This window comes from Homo sapiens, chromosome 21 (assembly GCF_000001405.40).
Source record: "Homo sapiens chromosome 21, GRCh38.p14 Primary Assembly".
NCBI lineage: Eukaryota > Metazoa > Chordata > Mammalia > Primates > Hominidae > Homo > Homo sapiens.
This window is the reverse complement of record NC_000021.9, coordinates 29195219-29220740: the sequence shown is the minus strand read 5'-3', so window position 1 is coordinate 29220740 and position 25522 is coordinate 29195219. Positions and strand designations below refer to the sequence as shown.

Genomic DNA, 25522 nt, shown 5'->3' with positions numbered 1-25522 from the left:
AACAGAAAGAAAGGTGTTTAAATAACAACATCTGAAATCTAGGTTCAATTGTGGAAGGATTTTTAAACCTATCAGTTAAATTTAGAGGTATTTTACTGAGTGAGACTTTTATCTTCCCGCATGGCAGGGTTCTAAAAAGTACCTGAATATTCATCAGAAAATAATGATTCACTTTAAACTCACAAATAATTCCTTTAAAAAAATGGACCCAGAAACTTCCTTCTGTCTTCTTCGTTAGTACTGATAGGTTATCTAATATTATGGTTAAAAATACAGACTCTGGAGCCAGACTACCTGAGCTCAAATCCCAGCTCTATCATTTTTGAGTTTGGTCAAGTTATTCAACCTTTTGGTGACTCATTTCCCTCACGTGTAAAAAGAATATTCATAGCACCTACATCAAAATGTTGCTGTAAAAAGTAGATATGTGAATTTAATGTGCCTGGCACATGGGGGGCACTAGATGTGATCGCTGCTAGTTTCAATAAACATCTTACATTTCACTTCTTTTCAGGATAAGATAGTTTAAATTTGACTTTCTTAATTTATTTATAGATGTGGCCTAGAAACACAGCATAAAGACAGAGAGAGAGGAACTTTTCTCTCTTCTTTTTAGGGTCTCACTCTGTTGTCAGGCTGGAGTGCAGTGGCGTAATCATAGTTTATTCCAGCCTGGCACTCCTGGGTTCATGTGATCCTCCTGCCTCAGCCTACTGGATAGCAAGGACTACAGGTGCACACCACCATGCCTGACCTAGGGGAACTATGAAATTCTACTATTGCTACTATTCTGTCATTTCTTATTATCCACCCATTTTATGTATTCACTCATTCATCCATTATTTGGCTTGTATTAAACACCTGTTATGGACCCTGCAAAGCGCAGGACCCTAAGGACACAAAGATAAATAAAATATAATCTTCAAGAAGGAAAAAGGACTCATGAACACAATGTAAGCACATCAGCGTCACGGGTCTTACGGTTTAAAACTAAACAGTGTGTGGTGGAAGTACCAGTGAGGGAGAGACTAATTCTAATCTGGAGAAAGGTTTAAAAAAGTTCAATAGAGAAGGGGATGCTCGGCTGAGTATGAAGAGCAAGGTTGCCCTGCAGTCTGGGTTGGTTTGATGACAGAGTCTTCCATGTAAAGGAGAACGTGGGAATAACCACAGCAGGTAACACAGAGGCCCTCCAACAACCTATTGGACTACACTGACACCAATTCTCCCACATGCTAGATAAAACAGCGTAAGGAAAAATGATTGAGCTTGAAAAAAGAAAACAGAAACAAACCCATAGGTTTAAGCAAGGAAGAGGGAAATTAAATACAGGCTAGTAAATAGAGCTGATGCAACAGCCTCTCACGGGGTTGTCAGGCCTGCTTAGCAATACAGCTGAGTTTTAATGTCCAGGCAGGAAGAGGGTAAGGACACTGACCCATGTGAGATCTGACATGGAGAGCTAGAGCTGAATCCTCTACATTTAGCCAGGCCCATCTGTTAAAAAGGAACTAGAAATACTCCACCCAAAAGCCTAGAGAGGTAGCAAGGAAGTTTGCCATCTACCCGCGACTCAGTAGGGAAAAAACGAGAAATTGCAAACCTAAGGCACACAAGCATGTAAGGCTCCAATTTATATTGTCCCCATGCTATCAAAATCCCAAGCTGGGACATTAACATAGAGCTGGTCTAGGACCCATAAAACCACTAGGAAACTGGCAAAACTGGTACTTCTACTACCTGGGAGTGGGAAGCGAATCAACCCCTGCTGAAAATGATCTCACAATAAAATAAGCAAATAAAACAAAACTCACCCACACACAGGCACACTAGGAAAAAATCCATCTCCACCACCATGAGAGTCAGTAAATGTAACAAGTCTGTAAAATATGGTTTAAATAATTAGGGAGATAAAAAAAGAAATAGAAACAACAATGAAAGAACAGGACAATGATGGAAAATGGCTACAGAAGTTCCTGCAGTGTGGTCCATTTAGATAATTACTTGTAATTCAGCATCTATAAAGCAGGTAGGTGGGGTGGAAAGTGCAGGGTTGTGAGGTAGTTGTGTGTATTGGTGGGGGACTGAGGGGAGAATGGAGAAGATGCATCAAGAGATAAGTCATGGAAGATCGAGAGGATTAAATTAAGTAAGGTCTTGGATGCCACCCTAAAAAAAATTTTATCCTTTAGCAAGGGGAAGACTTTGAAGACTTTTAATTAAAAAGTAATAAACAGATTTGTTTTGGAATATTCTCTTTGGCAGGAATTGGAAAATGATTGAAAGGAAACATGAATAGAGGAATAGAGACCATTCAGAAGATTTTTATAGTAGACCAGATGTCTTTAGTTCCAAGCTGCATTTATAGGCCCGAGAAATATTCAAATATATTTGTTAGAGTTCCAAACCTGGGTTTCACTGAGAACGTCAACAAAATCCCAAAGCTGAAGGACTACTCTCAACTTTACATTTAGGAAATATTGAATACACATGGAGCACTTATGCTGTCAGTTGGTGCACACGTTGGGCATACAGACATGAATAAAATATAGGCTGTGCATTTTCTCTTCTCCAAGTGCTCACAAACTAGCAGGATAATCAGACATGTAAATAAACAATCATTACACAATGTGATGTGGATAGGAGAATTATGAGCAGAGCACTGGGGAGACTGGAGGAAGTGGGATGTTGACAAAGGCGTTAAAGAGAAGAAGGCATTTGAACTGAATCATGAGGGGAGAATAACAACATTCAACATAGGAGGAATTTTGTAATTGCAAAGGCGCATAAATGTGTCATCAATATGATGTAATTCCAGGAAAATCTCATAAACCATATCCTGATGATATGCTGTCATATGAGTCATTACGTGAGATGAGAGGAGTCCAAAACTTGATCCTCAGGGAGCTTTTAACATATAACAATTCTTTATTTTGGAATATCATAATAATTTCAGAGGCATTCCATACTTGCTTTTTTTTTTTTTTTTTTGGAGACAGAGTCTTGCTCTGTCACCCAGGCTGGAGTGCAGAGACTCAATCTTGGCTCACTGCAGCCTCTGCCTCCTAGGTTCAAGAAATTCTCCTGCCTTAGCCTCCCAAATAGCTGGGATTACTGGTGTGCACCACCATGCCCAGCTAATTTTTGTATTTTTAGCAGAGACGAGGTTTCGCCATGTTGGCCAGACTGGTCTCGAATTCCTGACGTCAAGTGCTCCACCCGCCTCAGCCTCCCAAAGTACAGGGATTACAGACGTGAGCCCACCGCACCCGGCCCACACGTCCTCTTATTTTATCCCCACAATAACTCCGTGAGGTTGATCTTATTCTATCTACCTTGAGAGGAAGGAATTTCTTCATAAAATAGTAACTAAAAACAAGACTAACCCATGAGAAATAACAACCATTAAAGGCGAAGCAGTGCGGGTAACAGCAGTGGTAGGTCCAGAGTTGTTCCATCTCACAGGGAAATTCCCAGCTGTTCTGATCAGCTGCATGTAGGCCAGGATACCATGTTTTTCTTCCACGCTTTCTGCCCTGACAAGGCAACCAAGAAGCCTACCTTCTGTTCAGGGGACAAATAAGGACCCAACACTTTTAGATGGTGTGTTGTCCACGGGCATTGAGTCACTGAGGGCAAGTTGATTTCAAGCACAGTGTGGCATTGACTCCTTCCACTTCCTGGCACTCCTTCCATTTCCCGGTCCTCCTTCTACTTCCTGGTCCTCCTTCTACTTCCTGGCTTCACTCCGAAAAATCTGTTGCCTCCACACTTTTCTCTCATATCCCAATCACCCCTCTTCCATCTTCTCCTCACAGTCTCAGCCCCAGGTTCAGGTAGTCTTTACAAGCAAGTATCTGAAATGCTTAGATCAATGTGTGATTAGAGTTTACGGGTGCCCCTGGATTCACTGAAGGTAAGAAACAGAAGGAGAGGGAATTACACAGAGATCAGATTAATAGCCAAGATAATCCTGCCATATGTGTTGCAGCAACTTGAGGTCAGAGAAGAAACAGCTAATTTAAACTTAGATAATGTTTCAAGCCAAAAGGGGCTCGCATGGAAAAGATGCATTTGAAAAGAGATAATAGCTAATAAATTTGAGGACTGCTTGGGACCTTGGAGATCTTGGAATCTATCCTCTAACACCCCCACATCCTGGTGGGAAAAGCCATATATGCAAAGATCCAGCCTGGACCACATGGAGCCCTGTGAGGAGATAGACCTACCAGAGGAAGTCTTTAATGCCAAGAAATGGTTGGGAAACAGGCATCAACTCAGGAAGATGCTGATAAATATACACCTGTGAATAATGAACGCTTCCTTTGACAGGCAGAGCCAATATTACCATTTTACTGAGCACATAATTCTTGTCCATTAAAGAGTCCATTCTCTTGATGACCTAGGAGACCATAGGGGAACAGATTGTTCTTAAACGTGTACTATTTTCTTAACATGATATTCATTGTATCTTTCCACTCACAAGTACATTAGAATTAGTGAGGCTTAACTTGCTTCCTCTTAGTAGTAAATTACACATCTTTGATTGAACATCAGATCTTTAGACCACTAGCAAACTATTGAGCAGATTACTATTCCACCACAATATACTATCATTCAACTATGTAAAAAGACTTTGAGTTTTGCCATACACAAATATACTCTAGATGTGAAACTAAGTCAGTAAACCACTCTTAGTTTAGTAGAGGAGAAGCTGCAAACTAGAGCCTTAGAAGCAAATCTGTGTGCCATCTGTTTTGTAAATAAAGTTTCATTGGAACACAGCCGCACCCAGTCATTTACAGATTGTCTATGGCTGCTGTCCTGCTACAACAGCAGAGTTAAGTAGTTGTGAAAGAGTCCAGATGGCCAACAAAGCATAACATATTTACTCTCTGGCCCTTTACTGAAATAGTTTGCCCATTCCTGGAGAGCGTTAGTTTTGTTGCTTGTAAAATGTGATCAGAAATGGATCCTAATCTTACCTATTTCTCTCTATTCAATAAACATTTATTGAGCACCTACTATGTGATAGGCACTTTGGAAGAGGGGTAACAAAGAAGAGTAAGACATGGTTCCTTCCGAGAACATTGTAAGGACTGAGAAAGAGGTAACACGGATAATTTCAAGGTGCATATGAAGTACCGAGATAAGGGTATGCATTAATACTATCAAGTCAAAATAGGAGAACTTAGTAGAAACTGGCAAAGGCATTATGGAGAGATGAGACCAGAGCCAAGTGATAAAAAATGAGTAGTATTTTTTATGTTGCATAACCTAACAATATTGTATTGTATACTTACAAACCTACTAAGAGTATTTTTCATGTTAAGGATTCTTATCACCAAAAATATAATAATAATAAATGAAGAGGGTAGATGGAAACTTTCGGAGGTGACGAATAGGTTTGTACCATAGATTGTGGTGATGGTTTCATGGGTATATACTAATCTCCAAACTCATTAAGTTGTACACATTAACTATGTATGGCTTTTTGTATAGCAGTCTTACCTCAAGTAATTTTTTTTAACGAGTAGGAATTAACCAATGAAAGTGCTGAAAAAAAATTGGGAGGATTCAAGGGACTTTTTTGCAGCCAAAGGCCAAAAATGGACTCTTTTTGCATTTCTGCTGAAACAATCTTTACTAAGTTCATGGATGCCTCCGGCTGCAAGGGAGCGGGAGGAGTGTCTTGTATATTACACGCTTTGCATGGTTTAGTTTATAATGAGAACTTGCTGCTTAAAGACTAATGAAGACAAAGAAAATAATGAAAAGCTTTAAAATTAAACTTGTGTGAAAGCTTTAGTCTCCAGGAAACTCTAGTCATTTTTAAAAAGCCACTTAGGATTTACTGATAAATAATTCTACTTGCAAAGAATAGAAACATCGTTTATTAAATCTGGACAATATTTACTATATAATAGGGTATGAAATAAAATTTTTCCGTTATCTTATTTTTGGCTGAGCCCCCAAAACCAATTCAATAGATGTCAAATAACCTCCTAGAAGGAATTCTTTATAGGCTTGTCTATGTGGTGTGAACTGAAGAGAGCAAAGAAGGTGTACATTTGGTGCCTGAGAGATACCACATAAGAATGTCTTTTTACCCCCAACAAGAACACTATCGGGAATTACTTTTTCTTGGCAGTGAGTAGAAAGTGAAGCCCAAAGGTCTAGGACAAAAGACACACAAATGTTGTCAGGATTTACAAGGCATGGGAGATCCAGAACATGGTAAACGGCATTGGAAGGTTGAAATGGAGTATACGGTATAGAAGAAGGGTCAGGGGACAAATAGGAAGTGGAAAGACTAAGGGCTTGTTTTCCCATACACAGGTGTGTCTAAGTGTCTGTATGTGTGTCTCTGTGTGTGTCTATGTGTGTCTGTGTGTCTGTATGTGTCTATGTGTGTATCTGTGTGTATGTGTCTACGTGTGTGCCTGATGTGTCTGTGTCTGTATGTCTGTGTGCATGTGTGTGTGCCTGTGTCTGTGTATATGTCTGTGTGTCTGTATGTCTGTGTATATGTCTGTGTGTCTGTGTGTGCATGTGTGTCTGTATGTGTGTCTCCATATGTGTCTGTGTGTCTGTGTGTGTCTGTGTGTGTCTGTGTGTGTCTGTGTGTGCCTGTGTATATGTGTGTGTCTGTATGTGCCTGTGTCTGTATGTATCTGCGTGTGTGTCTGTGTGTCTGCAGTGTCTGTACTTGTGTCTGTGTGTCTGTGTGTGTGTCTATGTGTGTCTGTGTGTGTCTGTATATATGTCTGTATGTGTTTGTAGTGTCTGTATTTGTGTCTGTGTGTCTGTGTGTGTCTGTCTGTGTCTGCATGTGTGTCTGTGTGTCTGCAGTGTCTGTACTTGTGTCTGTGTGTGTGTCTGTGTGTGTGTCTGTATGTTATATGTCTGTATGTGTGTTTGTATTGTCTGTATTTGTGTCTGTGTGTGTGTCTGTGTGTGTGTGTGTGTGTCTGTGTCTGTATGTGTGTCTGTGTATGTGTCTGTGTGTATATGTCTGTGTATGTGTCTGTGTGTGTGTCTGTGTCTGTATGTCTGTGTCTGTGTATGTGTCTGTATGTGTCTGTGTGTGTCTATGTGTTTGTGTGTTTGTGTGTGTGTGTGTGTGTGTGAGAGCATGTATCTATGCCTCCATGTGTGGCAGCAGCAAGGAATGCAGAGGGTTGCAGGGGCAAAGCAGGTGGGATATTGCCAAAAAGAGGAAATCAACTATTTTGCATGAGTGTGTAAGAGTTCAACTTTTCCACATTTCAATGTCTCTTTATCCATTTTCCAAAATCATCTTAATTCTATAATTGAAAGGTAAATATATTTAAATCCCATGAAGGTACTTCCACATATTAGTGTACATCGTGGGCTATTCTGAGGTGATTCATGCTTCAGAGAAGATGAATATTGGTATTTTTTTGCATCTTAGTATGGAGGGTTAGGAAAAATATTTTAAATGTATTTATAGTCCTTGTTCTTTCTAAATCGTGTACCTCACAATTTTGAGATTTTTCCAACCAGAGACAATTAATTAGTTCAGTGGAATTATCATGGTGCACCAGTTTCAAAACTTAAAGAGAGTTTTAGAATATCTGTGTATGATTTGCTAGGAGGTGACTTGAACCTCATCTACTTCACCTTCCTTCAGTTTCCATTCAGGAGGAGTACAAAGATTAATAGGGATTTCTTTGTATGTTTGTCCCACCTCCCCCTGGGAGAGTAGCTGGAGCGCTTCTCTCCCATTCTCATATTGCCTTAGTTAGTTCAGACTGCCATAACAAAAATGTCATAGGCTGAGTGGCTTAGGCAACAGAAATTTATTTCTCACAGTTTTGGAGGCTGGAAGTGAAGACCCAGGTGCAGGCTGAATCAGTTCTTGGTATGTCCTCACATGGTGGAGAGAGAGGAAGCAAGCGCTCTCCTGTCTCTTAAAAGGGCACCAGTCCCATCATGAGGGCTCCACCTAATTACCTCCTGAAGTCTCCACCTCCTCATACCATCATCTTAGGGATTACAGTTTCAGCATATGAATTTAGGCGGGGCGGGGGACACACGTTCAGTCCATAGCGCATGCCAAATGAGAGTCTTCAGAATAACTGCTTATAGAGACTGGGGTGTCTGGCAGGAAGGGAGTAAGACAGCTTACCACTACCACACCCTTCCCATCGTCCCCCACCCCTAGCCAGCTGGAGCCAGCTAAATTGGGGCAGGTTCTGGGCCCCAGCAACAGCACGGGCCCTGAGAGGAACTGGAGTTTCCTGGACTTACAGGGACACAGGACAGGTGTCTGATTCTCATCTGACAAAGTCTAATGAGAGGCCAGCTAGAGCTCCCTTCTAAGCAAAGTGAAGAGAAGCGGCCTACACCTTCATACCCTGTCTGAGGCCAGGTGCTGAGTGCTCTATGGGTTAAATGGAGACTATGGAAGGTAACCGTCTTGGGAACACTTGAAAGGGCCATATAGAAGGCATCTGCCTGGCAGGGCAAAGCAACCCCTAAAGGAGAGGCTATGGGATCTGATCAGATGAGGTTGCTAAGCAAGGCTCATAAGCAGTCATCTGATCACATGGCTTACTTCACAACCAAGTCTTTCATACTCAAAGCCAGAGAACAAGGTAGTGAGAGGACCCTTTGGGCATTTTCAGAAACTACTTCATGAGAGAAAGTGTGGAGGGTGCATTTGGGCATCTGCCTCCCAGAGGGCTGGAAACAGCCAGTTGTAACAGTGCCAGCCAACTAAGACTGTGCTATGCCTCTAGTCTTCCCACTCTCCTGCATTCTACCCTAGAGGCGTGAGGAACCGTGGATGAGAGAAAAGGTGGTCAGGAGGACCAGAGAAGCTGACCGCAACACCCCTTCCCCACTGTAGGCTTCCAGGACCCAGGCACCTGAGCTGTGGGGGGATGGGAGAAGGTTTAAATTGGACAAGTGATTGAAAGTTTGATGTTACCCTAGGTTGGACTTTTTGTTTCCAATTTTTTAAATTGTGTTAAAATACATATAACTAAAATTTACTGTCTTAGTCATTTTTAAGTATATGTTCAGTGGTATTAAATACATTTATAATGTTGTACAACCATTATCACCATCGATCTCCATAACTCTTCAGTAAAACTAAAATTCTGTACACATAAACCACTAACTCTCCACTTTCCTCTCCCCCTTGCCCTTGGGAAACACCATTCTACTGTCTCTATCAATTTGCCTACCCTAAGTGCCTCATATAAGTAGAATCAAACAATATTTGTCTTTTTATGACTGGTTTATTTCATTTAACATAATATCCTCAAGTTCATCCATGTTGTAGCATATTTCAGAATTTCTTTCCTTTTTAAGGCTGAGTAATATTCCTTGTATGTATTTACCACATTTTGCCTGTCTAGCCATCAATCAATAGATAATTGTGTTGCTTCTACATATTAGCTATTGTGAATATAATGCTGCTATAATCATGGGTGCACCACTTTCATTTCTTTGGGTATATACTCAGAAGCATAATTACTGGATCATATGGTAATTCTATTTTTTAATTTTTCGAGGATCCACCACCATACCATTTTCCACAACAGTGTACCATTTTGCATTCCTACCAATAGTGTACAAGCGTTCCAATTTCTCTACATCCTCACCAACACTTGTGATTTTCTGTGTTGTTTTAAATAGTAGCCATCCCAATGAGTGTCAAGCGGGATCTCCTTTTAGTTTTGATTTGTATCTCTCCAGTGACTGTTAATGTTGAACATCTTTTCACATGCTTATTGATCATTTATACACCTTCTTTGAAGAAATGCCTATTCAAGTTCTTTGCCCATTTGAATCAGGTCATTTGTTGTTGTTCAGTTTTAGGAGTTCTCTATATATTCTGGATACTAATCAACCCCTTCTGTGAGTTGCAAATGTTTTCTCCCATTCTGTGGGTTGTCTTTTTAGCCAGCTGATATTTTCTTTGATGTCCAATTTTAAAATTTTTCATGAAGCCCAATTTGTTTATTTCTTCTTTTATGGCCTTTGCCTTTGGTATAACAGCCACCAAAAGATTGTTTTCAAATCCAATGTTGTGAAGCTTTTGCCCTGTGTTTTTTCTAAGATTTATATAATTTTAGGTTTTACAAATGGATCTTTGATATACCTTGAGTTAATTTTTATATATGATGTTAGGTAAAGATCCAACTTCATTATTTTACATGTGAATATTGTTTTCCCATGGGCTGGACTTTTTAATACCTGAAAATGGGATCTTTAAGACAAATTTATCCATAGACAGGAAAGAGAAATCTGAGAGGGGGTTTGAAAGAACAAGGCTGACTTCTACTTGGCCTCCTATGTCCAGCCCATTCAAAGAATTGGTTCTATAACCAAAGCACAATTATCAGGTAATGAAACTGGTTTCCTGTGTGGTATATAAACCAACCCTGAAGGAAATACTCCAAGAAAAAAACAGTTTTAAGAAACTCCATTAGCAAGACATTTAAAAATAAAGAAAGAGCTCAAAGGGAGCATTTTGGAGGCTATCACATGTACTAGTTCATTATCTAAAGGCTTTGCCAGTGGTATGATGACAGGTGGGCAGTGTGTGCCTCAAAAAAATGGGTCACCTTATTTAGACTAATCTCAGATTTTAAACATCAGAAAAGGACAAAATATTTAATCTTTATCACAAAATAAATCAAAGGGCTCAGTAAAGTCATTTAAAAAGAACATAAATCACAATAGAAGAAAACAGAAGATCCAGACATATGGCACCAGCAATGATTTTACCTCCTTCCCTGTGTTCATAATTTCCTCCACCTTTTTTCTATATACAAGCCTGCCTCACAGACCACATGTGTGAGGATATTTTGGACTTTATATCAAGCATTTCTATGACTCATATAACATCATCTAATGGACCACTTATGTCATTATTTCCAAGAAAATAATCTTTAAGGAATGGCACTAAAAATTTGTTCTCATCTAAGGTATTAAAGGTTTTTTTCTATATACATAAACTAGAAAATAGTATTAAGACATAAAAATAATGCTTTAAATTATATGTTAACACCATAAAGAAAATATTCCTAGGGTTGCATTATCCAACCCTGTAGCCACTGGCCACATGCAGCTATTTAAACTTAAATTTTAATTAATTAAAGTTTTAAAAAATTAAATATTCATTTAGTAATGGCCACCACATTGGACAGCATATACACAGAAAATGTTTATCATTATAGAAAGTTTTTTTTTTTTTTTTTTTAGAGACAGAGTCTCACTCTGTTGCCCAGGCTGGAGTGCAGTTTCATAATCTCAGCTCACTGCAATCTCTACCTCCCAAGTTCAACTGATTCCCCTGCTTCAGCCTCCCAAATAGTTAGAAATACAGGGATGCACCACCAACCCCAGCTAATTTTTGTATTTTTAGTAGAGATGGGGTTTCCCATGTTGGCCAGGCTGGTCTTGAACTCCTGACCTCAGGTGATCCACCCACCTTGGCCTCCCAAAGTGCTGGGATTACAAGCATGAGCCACCACACCTGGCCTATTACAGAAAGTTGTTTTGGACAACACTGTTCTAGAGTTTCAGAGCCAATCACTTTGGAAAATTTAAAAAACTAGTGTTTTCTGTGCATGACTAGGTTCTTAATATCTTAATGCTCAAGCAATTTGAGCTTTTGTAAAGTAAGAAGATACGTGATGTCACAGGCTTGTAAAGGCAGAATATTATTCCTCAATTTAGAGACAGGCTGAGTTCCCTTGATACTTTATTTTTAAATTGCTGTATTAAGGCCAAGAGACAGGCAAAAATTCAAAGTTGCAAAACTTCTTCCTAGAAGCCTGAATGCCCTTCAGATTGCTTGCAAACCATGAAAATTCAGCACTGAGGGATTTAAAATGTTGAGTAGTGATCTCATGCACTTAGCTTTTTCACAGAAGTTTTCATGGTTTCTCGAATAAACACATAATGCACTTCTTTGTGTCACATTTTTTCCCATATTTGTCATTTTCACTTCCCTTTTACATGATTCATCTTTTAATGTATTAAGGTTACATTATTTACTGGCATGCATGGATATTTGTGAGAGTACTGAAGAAGGGAAAACTTACGGGAACTTTTTTTAAATTCTGTTATCTAGAAACTCATTCTTTACTTGGAACAAGGAAAATTAGGAGTTTTGAATCGTTGACATTTTACTATTCAGCTTCCTTTCCCCACCAAAGAACAAGCTGAATAAATCTTTGTCAGAATTTAAATTTGTCTTTAACTGCTTCCTCCGGAAACATGCAGAGTATTAGATCATCAAAAATTACATTCATTTGTCTAATGAAAGCATGTCCAAATCTCAGAAGCTTTATCTAATGTCTAACCAGAATATGTGATTTCATCTGCCTACAGTGGAAAAATCTATATGTAGCCTAAAAATTCTCATTATGATATTCTTAAAACTTTATCATAGGGAGACTGGAAGGAGCAAGTACAGTCTCTTTACAAGCAATGTGGCTACCAATCCCCAGCAACACCTCAACCCCATCCTGGAGCAGTGGCGCCGTTAAGGAAGCGTCTTTGCTAGAGAAATCTATACATGGGCTTTTTGGTGCTTATGGTAGCTCTCACTATATGGTTCTGACAGTCTGACTTCTGAAACTATTGTGTGTCTACAGCCATACCACTCTGCACGTGCCCGATCTCATCCGAAATTAAACTATTATGATAATGAATGTTATTTTTTGTATAGGCAGAACTTAGATTTTTAACTCTTAGCAACCTTTATTAAATGGAAAGGGATTGTTAACACACCCAGCCCCGTACCTTGTCCCTTCCTATAACTAAAGAAAGACCTAGAGAGACTGACTTTGGAAAACTAATTGACAGTTGCTATGTTTTGAATGTCCCCACAAAAACTCATGTTGACATTTAATTGCCATTGTAAGGGTATTGGAAGGTGGAACCTTTATTTAAGAAGTTAACACTATAAAGAAAATATAAGGGCTCTGCCCTCGTGAATGGATTAATGCCAGTATATTGGAAGTAGGTTAATTATCACAAGAGTGGGCTTCTGATAAAAACCTAAGTTCGGCCCCTATTTCTGTCTCTGTCTCATGGGCTCAATCCCACCTTCCACCCTTTCACCATGGGATGCCACTCACCAGATGCCAGTGCCATTTGGACTTCCTAACCTCCAGAACCATGATCTAAATAAACCTTTCTTTATAAATCATCCATTCTGTTATAGCAGCAGAAAACAGATGAAAACAAGTGTTGAACAATTTACGGAATTTTTAAAATTTTGTAAAGTTTACTGTGGTCTTCTGAGAAATTTCCTAGGTCCAGGCATACTATTGGCATTCAAAAAAACCACATATAATATTAGAATTCAGGGAGGGAAAAGAGGAACAAAATTTTGATGGAAGTGAATGGTAAAGATTATGAATTTCCAGGAAGAGAAGTATTGCAAAGAATTCCAGATGGGGCAGGCACCGAAATGAGGTAGAAGAAATGAACCTAAGATATGTCAGGAAGAGGAAGAGTACAAAAGGCTGTAATCAACGCTTTTCAGACTTTAACATGCCTAGGAATCACATTTTGCTACAATGCAGCCTTAGATGAAATAAATCTGGATTAGGGCCTGAGACTCTGCATTTCTAGCAGGCACTCAGGTGATTCCAATGCTCTGCTTTCATAGGCCACATTTTGAGTAACAAAGCTGCAGTCAACTCAGTTACCATAATCACGAATAACTCACATTTATATTGATCCTTTGTTGCACAGGACGGTCTCTCACATAATTTACCTCTTTCGATCATTAGATGAATAAAACAGGATTCTGTGAATATCCAGTCTTATTTTATCTCTGTTATGGAAACACAGGGAGGCTCTGAGGACTCAGCATTGCACCACACTCCTGGATTTTTAAGAAACTCTCCTTTTAACAAGTTCTAACGATCATCTCAAATATTCTACACATCCTTTCCCAAACTGGATGTGATTAGATATGCCAGTGGTAAAAATGTTTCATGCTCAAATAAGTTTGAAAACGTGAGTTACACACAGTTAGATGTTTCTTTACTATAAGACTCTCAGAGTGTTCGATACGAATGTACATCAGAAGTCTTTGAGAGATTTGACCACAGACACAATGCTTTCTTTGTAGTAAACCTATTAACACCTGCTGGAGAAACTTCCCTACATTGTGAACAGTGAGGTTTTGACTACTAGTTCTGAGGTCTCATTGTTCTTAACTTCATAGATATTACTTTGACCAATGTAATCAGTGACCTATGCTTAAATATAAGTCATTGCTAAGAGAGTTTTCAAAGCTGGCCAGGGCATCCACTTAGAAACAATGATCACCTTTGCACGAGTTGATTAGATGGGGTTGAGCAGAGAACAGCTACTGTAGAAAACGCTGGAAAGAGCATCATGCTGAGAATGTACAAAGGACACATCATACAATTAGGATACTGAAAACCATCATTTTAAATGGTGCACCATAGCTGTAAACCGTAAGGAAATGATAGTGGCAAACAGGACCAGTCTACTGTGTACCAAACAAACAGAATAGCTCATCATAAGTAAGCAGAGAAGTGCCCAACCCAAGGACTGAGGTTTATACAAAAGTTTTCCAAGCACAGCCCATAGTGTCCTGTAATCACTGCCTTTGTGAGTGAAGAGAAAGACCAAAAACTTTCCAGCACAAGACTTCGGAAGTCTGACCTCACCCTTCCCCACTATGATAACTAGGAGAGAAGTTTCTAACTATATAAAATATATGAAACTCAAAGCTACAAAAAATACCTCTCTGACCTTTCTTTGGACTGGTTATGTTAAAATAAATTGTGAATTGAGGTTTTGCCTACAACAAATGGACATAGAGCAATGATAAGCTACTCTCTATAATGAATTCTGAGTAAGAAGAAATGAACTCTTTTTATTCTTTTTTTTCTTTTTTTTTTTTCGAGACGGAGTCTCACTCTTTCACCCAGGCTGGAGTGCAAGTGGTGCGATCTCGGCTCACTGCAAGCTCCGCCACCCGGGTTCACACCATTCTCCTGCCTCAGCCTCCGGAGTAGCTGGGACTACAGGCGCCCGCCACCACGCCCGGCTAACTTTTTGTATTTTTAGTAGAGGCGGGGTTTCACCGTGTTAGCCAGGATGGTCTCAATCTCCTGACCTCATGATCCACCCACCTCGGCCTCCCAAAGTGCTGGGATTACAGGCGTGAGCCACCGTGCCCGGCCGAACTCCTTTTTTTATATAAAAAATAAAAAGAGCTTTAACCAAACTGACTTTTTCCTTTTACACACAGAAATAATTGATGCTTTCAAAGTTTAGGAGAAAATTCTAAATATGCTGTCATGATAGCTAATGGAGTTTCCTTGATATCTGTATTAGTCTATTCTCACGCTGCTAATAAAGATGTACATGACACTGGGTAATTTATAAAGGAAAGAGGCTTAATTGACTCACAGTTCCACATGGCTAGGAAGGCCTCACAATCATGGTGGAAGGCCTGTGAAGAGCAAAGTCACATCTTACACGGCGACAGGCAAGACACTGTGTGCAGGGGAACTCCCATTTATAAAACCATCAGATCTCGTGAGACTTATTCACTACCACAAGTACAGTAGGAGGGAAACTGACCCTATGATTCAATTATCTCCACCTGGCACCCGGCAGGGGTTATTACAATTCAAGGTGAGATTTGAATGGGAACACAGCCAAACTATATCATATCAATATCAAATTTCCATCTCATAGAAAATTGATATACAATGGTTCTCAAAATTCAGCTGCATCAAAATCACCTAGAGAGCTTGCTGAGATCTACACTGGAGTTTCCAATTCAGTAAAACTGGGATGGGGCCTAAGGATCTGCATTTCTAACAAGTTCTCAGGTGATACTGATGCTGCAGTTCTGGGGGCCACATTTGAATACAGCTGGAATGGGATGAGCCTTAGCAATCAGCTGATCCATATCTTTACCTTACAGATGAGGAAGCGGGGCATAGAGAAGAATTTATCACTGAAGGCGAGGCCAGCAACAGCTACCTTGAACACCCCTGCACTCTGCTCTGTCCTTTTCCACTGTTTTAGTCACATGTCCAGGGTCTCAAAATGTTATACTGCTTTTCCCTACACTCTCTTCTCCATTCCCTTATCAGGAAAAACTACAAAAACTTTATTGTGGGGAAAAAAGATTACCAGGACTCTGTCTGTCTATCCTTCTAGTGTATCTTTGCCTTGTACTCCCTTTCAGCTGCTTCACTACTCTCAATATTGTCAAAAACTAATAACACAAATGATGCTTGCCTGAAGAAATGAAAGTGAATTGGGCCCTGTGAAATACAATTGATTATTGGGCTGTAGGTATTAACCCAATATGCCTGTAAAATGATTTCAGCATTCTCAATTCCCTCTGTGTGTATGTGTATTTAATTCTCTTTTGAATGTATAGTATCTTAATATGCTCCACAATAAATACAGAGTTAAATAAAGTCTTTGGCGTGTGTTCATTTACTATTTTTATAATTTTTGTGTCATGGTTTATGTTTTTTAAAAAAACTTACCTTTTAACATGCTAAAAAAGACAGTACTTCTTGAATGGTAGAATAAAGACCATCAAAAATCTGCTCATCCATAAAAGCAATGAGATCAGTGGCAAAAATTGTCAAAATTAACTTTTTCAGAACTCTGGAAATTAACTAAAAGATTGCAAAATGTCAAGGACTGTTTAGTCAGGAAAAAATGGCTGAATCTTGGTAAGACCAGTGAGCTATTTTGTGGCATTTTAACTTGACCTAATCCCTCTCCCCCACCCCAATGCCATGGTAACATTGAAAACCAACAGCCTCGCAACTACGGTAGCTATGAAAACCAGCAGCCTGGCAGCCACTGGAGAGGGTCAAATGGATATGGATATAAAACTTCCCCCAAATCTCATAATTGTTAAGACTTGACCTGTGTGGCAGTTCACTGAAAATATCCGTTCTCAGGGCTTTTCTGTATTTGACCTAACCCAGAATTTGCTCTGTGCCAACAGCCCTATTCCTAGGACATTTGTTTAAAAAAAAAAATAGGTGGCAATTATTTCACATTGCAGCTGCCTGAGACAATGTTACTGGTTGGAGCTAACAGGAAACCGACCAAAACACAACCACCAAGGAATTAAGATGTCCATAAGAGACTTTGGAAAGCAAACACATATTCCTGCAAATACAGAAGGTCATTCACATGTGCAGGGCTGTGTACCTGCACAGGAAAGACCTGAGAAGATCCTAATTCCTCACCTCTGGCTTACCTTAAGATTACATACAAGCAGGAAGAAAGTTTAAGGCAAAATTGTAAACTGCCTGTAGGAATATTAAAGATATACCCCAACCCACACATATATCCCATCACCCAAAACTGGGAAACTTATTGGTTCAAGGAATGTAAGGAAATCTCTGTCTAATCATTAGCTGACTACCAATCTAACCAGGCAGAGACTTCAATGGCTGCATATAAAAGAAGAATATAGACTTTACAGAATTAGTGCAGGAAAGTCACTAAAAAAACGAATAAACAAACTAATAATAGTAAGAAAAAATAGCAACAATAACAACAAACTTTGGGGAGAAGAGAGCATCCAATTTCCCGAATAGACATATTATTTAAAATGTCCAGTTTTTAACAAAAACAGAGAGACACATACACACACAAAAAAAAGAATGTCCCGTGCAAAAGAAAACAAGCAGTAAATTCTCCTTGACAAAGTCCAGACTTTGGATTTAGCAAACAAAGATTTTATTTTGCTTTTTGTTTTATAATTTGATGTTTTATTTTAGACTCAGTGGGAACATGTGCAACTTTGTTGCATGGGTATACTGTGTGATACTGAGGTTTGGGGTATGAATAATCCTGTAACCCAGGTAGTGAGTATAGTACCCAATAGTTGTTTTTTTTTTTTCACCCTTGTCCCCCTCCCTCCCTTCCTCTTCTAGTAGTCCCCGGTGTCTATTTCTGCCATATATATGTCCGTGAGTACTCAAAAAACAATGACCTTTAATCATCTAATGAACTAAAGGAAACCACATCTAAAAAATTAAAACAAAGTGTGAGAATAATGTCTCATCAAACAAAAATATCTATAAAAAGATATAAATTATTGTTTTAAGAGAATAGAAATTCTGAAGTTGAAAAGTATAACTGAAATTAAAATCACTAGATGGGATTAACAACAAATTTGAACTCATAGAAGAAAGAATCAGTGAACTTGAAGATAGGCCAATTGTGATTATCCAGGACCAGAAAGAAAAAAGATTAAAAAAAAAAATAACAAGCTTCAGAAACCTGTGGGACACTATCAAGCATACAAACATATGGCAGTCCAAGAGAAGAAAAGATAGATAAAAAGACAGAAATATCATTTGAAAAAATAATGGCCAAAAATTTTCCAAATTTGGTCAAACATATTACACAGTCAAAAATCTAAATAAATTCAAGTAGAATAAACTCAAAGAGATCCACAGTGAGTTACATTGTAATCTGACTGTAAAAAGACAAAGAGAAAGCAAGAATCTTGAAAGCAGCAAGAGAGAAATGGCTTACCACATACAAAGGATTCTTAGTAGGATTAACTGTTGGCTTTTCATCAGAAACCATTGAGATCAGAAGGAAATGGGAGTTAATATATTCAAAGTGCTGAAAGAAAAAGATTGTCAATCAAGAATTCTATATTAAGCAAAAGTGTCTTTCAAAAATGAAGGAGAAAGTAAGATATTCCCAGATAAACTAAAACTAAAATAATTCATCAGTAGCAGACATGCCATATAAGAAATACACATCACTCCAATCACTAAAATCAGAAATGATAAAGAACATCATTAAGTTGTTTAAAGAAATAAAAGGATTATAAGAAAATACTACAAACAATTGTGTGCTAACAAATTAAATAACCTAGATGAGGTAGCCAAATTCCTAGAAAGATACAAACTACCAAAACTGACTCAGAAGAAACTGAATATTCAAATAGACCTATAATAAGTAAAGAGATTGAATTAGTAATCCAAATACTTCTCACAAAAAGTCCAGGCTCAAGTGATTTCAATAATGAATTCCACTGAATAATTTAGAAAGAATGAAGATCACTCACAAACTTTTCTGAAAAGGTGGAAGAGAAAGGAACATTTCCCAGCTAATTCTATGGAGGCCATATCACCATAATACCATAATCAGATATAGATATCAAAAGAGAAAAAAACACAGACTAATATCTCTTATGAATATAGATGCAAAAATCCTCAACAAAAGTGTAGCAGGCCATATTGAACAACATATAAAATGGATTATACACCATGACTAAGTGAGATTATCCCAGGAATGCAAGGTTGGCTCAACATAAGAAATCTATCAATGTAATATAGCATATTAGTAGAATTAAAGATAAACCCACATAATCATCTCAATACATTTTCTTAAAGCAATTGATGAAATCCACCCCCATCCCCATAGCAAACTAAGCATAGAAGAGAAGTTTCTCAACCCAATAAAGGCCATCTATGAAAAACCTCTAGCTAACATGATGCTTAATGGTGAAAGAAAGTTCAGGAACAAGATAAGCATGTCTACTCTCACCACTTCTAGTCAACATTGTATTGAAGGTTCTAGCCAGAGCAGCTAGGCAGAAAGAAAGAAATAAAAGGTAAGCACACATATATCCCATCAGCAAAGACTGGGAAACTTAGTGGTTCAAAGCATTTAAGAAAATCTCTGTCTAATAATTAGCTGACTGCTAATCAGACTAGGCAGAGACTTCAGTGGCTGCACATAAAAAAGAATACAGACTTGACAGATTACAAAGGAAGAAGTAAAATTGTTTCTATCTGCAGATGATGTAATCTTGTATATATAAAATCCTAAGGAAAATCTACCAAAAAACTATAAGAATCTAACAAACCAGCATAATAAGGTTGCAGAATAGAAGATCAATTTACGGAAATGAATTTTATTTCTATAAAATAGCAATAAACAATAAGAAATACAATAAAAAACAATTTTGTTTGCAAAAGTATAAAAGAAAACCTCAGGAATAATTTTTTTTAAGTAAAAGACTTGTACACTGAAAATCTGTAAAAGATCATTGAAAGAAGTTAAAGAAGATCTAAATAAATGGGAAGATACCTCATGTTCATGGATCAGAAGACTTACTTCTGTTAAGGTGGCAATATTTCACAAATTAATCCACATATTCAACTCAATCCTTCTCAAAATCTCAGCTATGTTTTTTCAGAAATTGACAAGCCAATCCTAAAATTTGTATAAGAACTCAAAGGAACCACAATAACCAAAACAACCTGGAATTGTAGGACTTAGGCTTATCAGTTTCAAAACTTATTAGAAAACTGCAGTGACTAAGATAATGTAGTACTGGCATAAGCATAGACATATAGATCAACAGAATAGAATTGGATTCAGAAATAAACTCTTACATTTATAGGTCAAATGATTTTTCAGCAAAGATGTCAAGAAAATTTAATGAAGAAACAGTAGTATTTTCAACAAATGGTGCTGGGACAACTAAATATCCATATGCAAATGAATAAATTTGAAGCCCTACTTCACACCATATACAAAAATTCATAGACCTAAACATAAGGGGTAAAACTATAAAAGTCAACCATAGACCTAAATATAAGAGGTAAAACTATAAAAGTCTTAGAAGAGGCCGGGCATGGTGGCTCATGCCTATAATCCCAGCACTTTGGGAAGCCAAGGTGGGTGGATCACCTGAGGTCAGGAGTTTGAGACCAGCCTGGCCAACATGGTGAAACCCCATCTCTATTAAAAATATAAAAACTAGCCAGGCATGGTGGTGGGTGCCTGTAATCCCAGCTACTCAGGAGGCTGAGGCAGGAGAATTGCTTGAACCCAGGAGATGAAAGTTGCAGTGAGCCGACATGGTGCCACTGCACTCCAGCCTGGGTGACAGAGTGAGACTCTGTCTCAAAAAAAAAAAAAGTCTTAGAAGAAAGCATAAGAGTAAATCTTCATGACATTGGGTTAGGCAATGGTTTCTTAGATTTGTGAATCCAAAGGTACCTGAGACAGGTCTCAATAAATTTAGAAAGTTTATTTTGCCAAGGTTAAGGATGCACCCGTGACACAGCCTCAGGAGGTCATGATGGCATGTGCTCAAGGTGGTCGAGTATAGCTTGCTTTTATCTATTTTAGGGAGACATAATACATCAGTCAATACATGTAAGATGTACTTTGTTTCGATCTAGAAAGGCAGGACAACTTGAAGTTGGGCTTCCAGCTCATAGGTAGATTTTAAAGATTTTCTGATTGGCAATTGGTTGAAAGAGTTAAGCTATTATCTAAAGACCTGAAATTAATAGAATGGAATGTCTAGGTTAAGATAAGTGATGGTGGAGGCCAAAGTTTTATCATGCAGATGAAACCTCCAGGTAGGAGGCTTCAGAGAGAATAGATGGTAAATGTTTCTTGTAAGACTTAAGGTCTGTGTTGATGTTAGTGCTGGAAGGCTTTTCCTGAATTCCAAAAGGGAAGAGGATATATAATGAGGCACTTCTGACCCTCCCTTCCCATCATGGCCTGAACTAGTTTTTCAGGTTAACTTTGGAATGCCCTTGGCCAAGAGGAGTGGTTCATTCAGATGGTTGAAGGGCTTAGAATTTTATTTTTGGTTTACAGACTGATACTGTTTGGCTGTGTCCCCAGCCAAATCTCATCTTGAATTGTAGCTCCCATAATTCTGTTGTGTTGTGGGAGGGACCCAGTGGGAGACACTTGAATCATGGGGGGAGCTTCCCCCATACTATTCTCATGGTAGTGAATAAGTCTCATGAGAGCTGATGGTTCTATAAGGGGAAACCCCTTTTGCTTGGCTCTCACTCTTCTCTTGTCTGCCGCCATGTGAGATGTGACTTTCACCTTCTGCCATGATTGTAAGGCCATCCTAGCCACATAGAACTTTCGAGTCCAATAAACCTCTTTCTTTTGTAAATTACCCAATCTCGGGTATGTCTTTTTTTTTTTTTTTTTTTTTTTTTTTTTTTTGAGATGGAGTCTAGCTCTGTTGCCCAGGCTGGAATGCAGTGGTGCAATCTCAGCTCACTACAACCTCCACTTCCTGGGTTCAAGCTATTCTCCTGCCTCAGCCTCCCAAGTAACTGGGATTACAGGCATGTGCCACAATGCCCAGCTAATTTTGTGTGTTTGTGTGTATTTTTAGTAGAGATGGGGTTTCACCATCTAAGCCAGGCTGGTCTTGAACTCCTGACCTCAAGTGATTCACCCACCTTGGCCTCCCAAAGTGCTGGGATTACAGGTGCAAGCTACCATGCCTGGTCATGGGTATGTCTTTATCAGTGGTGTGAAAAGGGACTAATACACAGATATAACACCAAATGTACAAGCAACAAAAGAAAAAGCAGATAAATTGGATTTCATAGAAATCAAAAACCCCGTTTCTAAGGACACAATCAATAAAACAAAAAGACAACGCACAGAATTGGAAAAATATATGTGCAAATAATATATATAATCAAAGACTGAATATACAATGCAGAATATATGAAGAACTCCTAGAGATTAACAATAAAAAGACAACCCAATTAAGAAATAAACAATTTGATAGACATGTCTTCAAATATGTCCAAATGGCCAATGAGTACATAAAAACGTGCTTGTCATTAGGGAAATACAAATAAAAATTACAATGCGACACCACTTGACACCTACAAGTGAGGACAGCAAACCAGTCCTCACTCTCCTAGAAGGTATGACTTTTCATTCTGTTCCTCACCAAGACCATCACTTCCCACTGCCCCACATTTTCTCCTGCCTCTCCTCTATTTTCCCATCCCTAGTGACAGAAATGACCCAGGCAGTTGCCCCAGATTGAAACGGGAAAGTTTCCTGATCCCTCTCGCAGGACATGCAACAGAGGTATGGCTCGCCTGTTCAGTCGACACCACTGCTCTTCAGTTGTCACCATTGCTCAAACCCCTGATGGGAGGGGAAACACACAGACTGACAGGTGTAGGAGCTGGGGCAAGTGCCTTGGGCTCCAGCCCCGTATCTAGGGGTGGGTGCCTGCGGCCCCTTTTTGCAAGGGCAGAGGACCAGTATGGCAGCTTTCTGTATCCCTAGCTCTTGCTCAGCATCCCAGAAGAATCAGGTGACCCACGGGCTTGAAGGATGAATGTGGGGTTTTACTGAGTGATGGAGGTGGCTCTCAGCAGGATGGATGGGGAGCTGGGAGGAGGATGGAGTGGGAAGATGATCTTCCCCTGGAGTTTGGCCATCCAGCAGTCAAACTCCCCTCCAACCACCCCCAGCTGAGCTCCTCTCAGCGTTCAGATGTTCCTTCTCTTCTCTCTTTCTCTGCTGCGCTGTTTGTCTGCTTGTCTCCTCATCTGCTCATCTGCTTCTGGAGCCTGGGGTTCAGGGTTTATATGGGTACAGGATGGAGGGGCATGGCGAGCCAAAAGGCAACTTTTGGGGCACATAATGCCTGTTCCCACTTACGGCCACGGGTCTCAAGGCTTGAGGGTTGGGACTTTGCTGGGGAACCACCCTCTTCTACCCAATATTTCCCTGTCTTCTGTCCATATCAAAATTACCTTCTCTCCTCCACAACAGAAATCAGGGTTTTCCCCTCTTCCTTCCCAGATTTATCTCTGTGGCAAGTATTTTTGTCTCCAGAAGTCCTATTCTCATTGCCCAGCCAAATGGCTAAAGGAACATCACCCCACCAGCTGTTAGAACCGTGGTGAAGGATGGGAAAATATGTCCCTGGTAACCAAACAGGAAAGCCAACTGAACCTTCCCCACAGAAACAATATTACACGCACCTCAGCCATTTGGGTGTAGGATAGCCTTGAGTGGATAGTCTAGCAGTCCTAACAATCATCGAGGATGTATATGTAAAAAATGGAAACTACGTTTTCACTTTCAAACAACCAGCTCATAAATGAATGTTTGGATCAGACCCATTCTTCTATTTTTCAGTCAAATAATTTTTTATTTTTATTTTTTGGTATCTAACCTTGTTTTGATTCTTGTTGTTGTCAATCAGTTCGACACTGCATTCCTCCAGAAACTCATGAGTATGTTTTGAAAACTTTGCTCCTGTGACCCAGGACCTTGGCTAGAAAGAGTCATCGTAGCACAAGAGGAAGATGGAGCAGGGGTTTTCCTGAGGGTGTGGCAATAGCAGTGACTCATGCTACTTCCTTTTTCTAACCCTTTCCATTAGTGGGGTGGGGGAAAGTCACAGTCAGACCTGGGGAAAGCCGTCTTTATTTAGAGGGCGCCCCTAGTGTAGTGATGGCTTTTTGCTTTCTTTCTGCCACAGTGCAAAGCAGGGAAATAAAAATGCACAGCACGATAGCGAGAGTTTAGAACTCTAAGACAGCCAAAAAAAAGTCATTTATAAAAGAATGCAACATACGCTAAAATTAGTTCCCTAGTGTATGCAAAAAAGAAAGTCAAACTCAGCACATTTCTTTTTGTGTAGTCAGGTACTAAATGTCTCTTGCAGCATATGAAGTGGATAAAGAGAACAGAGACGAAGAAGAAAGGAGAGAGAGGAGTGCAAAGAAGAAAATAAGTGTGGACATAAATTCGCTTTTCAGTGTGTGTAGTCTAGATACTATCTTAGTTCCCCAAACAATGTTTGCTTTGTGATTTCACTGCATAACTCTTTCAGATGTTTTCTCTCTGAATGGCTAGAAGTCAACAGCTCTAGACCCTAACTCTGTAAAAGCAAAGGACTCAAGTCCTCTTCAAGTCTTTCCACTTATAAAAAGGGGAATAAATGAGAGTTTTATATCTTGTGAGCTTTTTAAAGCATTTCACAGAAATTAAACATCAGTGATTACATAAAGTTATATATAACTTCTCAAACTGAGGGGAAAGAAGCCAAGTTGTTGAGGAAACCATAGCCAAAGAAGGATGGCTGTTTAGTTCCCTGAACCACGCTTTTGAAATACTATAATCGAGATCATTCAATGAAACTTGTTTGCTTAAATTTTTTTTACTTTATTGAAAAGAGGGGCTGAGAGGAAGGAAGGCATGAACTGCTATTTCACAAATTAGCATAATTACATCCACTGTATATGCTATTATGGAAATTCAATTTAAGAAATTATAGCTAAAACACCTAGCACGGCGTCTGGCACCTGTTAAGGGATCAATAAGACTCAGGTGTCACAGTTTTTATTATTATTGCTGTTATTATCATTGTGATTATTATAGAGGGGGATCTGTGAGTTACAAGGAGATTGCTGGTAGTTGGATAACTGACCCAAATCATTCCAAATTCTCATGTTGTATTTCATGGACCATGTACAGAAAATAGAATGACAGTTCCATTTTTGTGTCAAATTGTAATTAGTTAACGCCATGCCCTCAAAAGAAACCTTGATTTTTATATTATTATCCAAAATGAATTTCATTCCCAAACTCTTGAATGTGAATATCTTTGACCTGTAGGAGATGAAAATATGCCTGTTTGGCATAAGGATTATTTTGAGGT

The 25522-nt window shown here is 39.1% G+C and overlaps 1 long non-coding RNA gene across 1 annotated transcript in view, besides 2 other annotated features; it reads right to left on the bottom strand.

The window, feature by feature from the left end:
* LINC00189 (long intergenic non-protein coding RNA 189) overlaps positions 1–25522 on the bottom strand; it is a 94712-nt gene that overhangs the window by 67465 nt on the left and 1725 nt on the right. The window lies entirely within an intron of this gene.
* Positions 23516–24715: an enhancer, noted in NCBI's record as "MED14-independent group 3 enhancer chr21:30568347-30569546 (GRCh37/hg19 assembly coordinates)". NCBI's record gives its function as "activates an origin of replication core promoter dependent on BRD2, BRD4, P300/CBP and CDK7 cofactors, and independent of MED14, by STARR-seq in HCT116 cells {active_cell/tissue: HCT116}" and the evidence as "EXISTENCE:reporter gene assay evidence [ECO:0000049][PMID:35650434]".
* Positions 24019–24258: an enhancer, noted in NCBI's record as "active region_18342". NCBI's record gives its function as "activates an Ori minimal core promoter by ATAC-STARR-seq in GM12878 lymphoblastoid cells {active_cell/tissue: GM12878}" and the evidence as "EXISTENCE:reporter gene assay evidence [ECO:0000049][PMID:35858748]".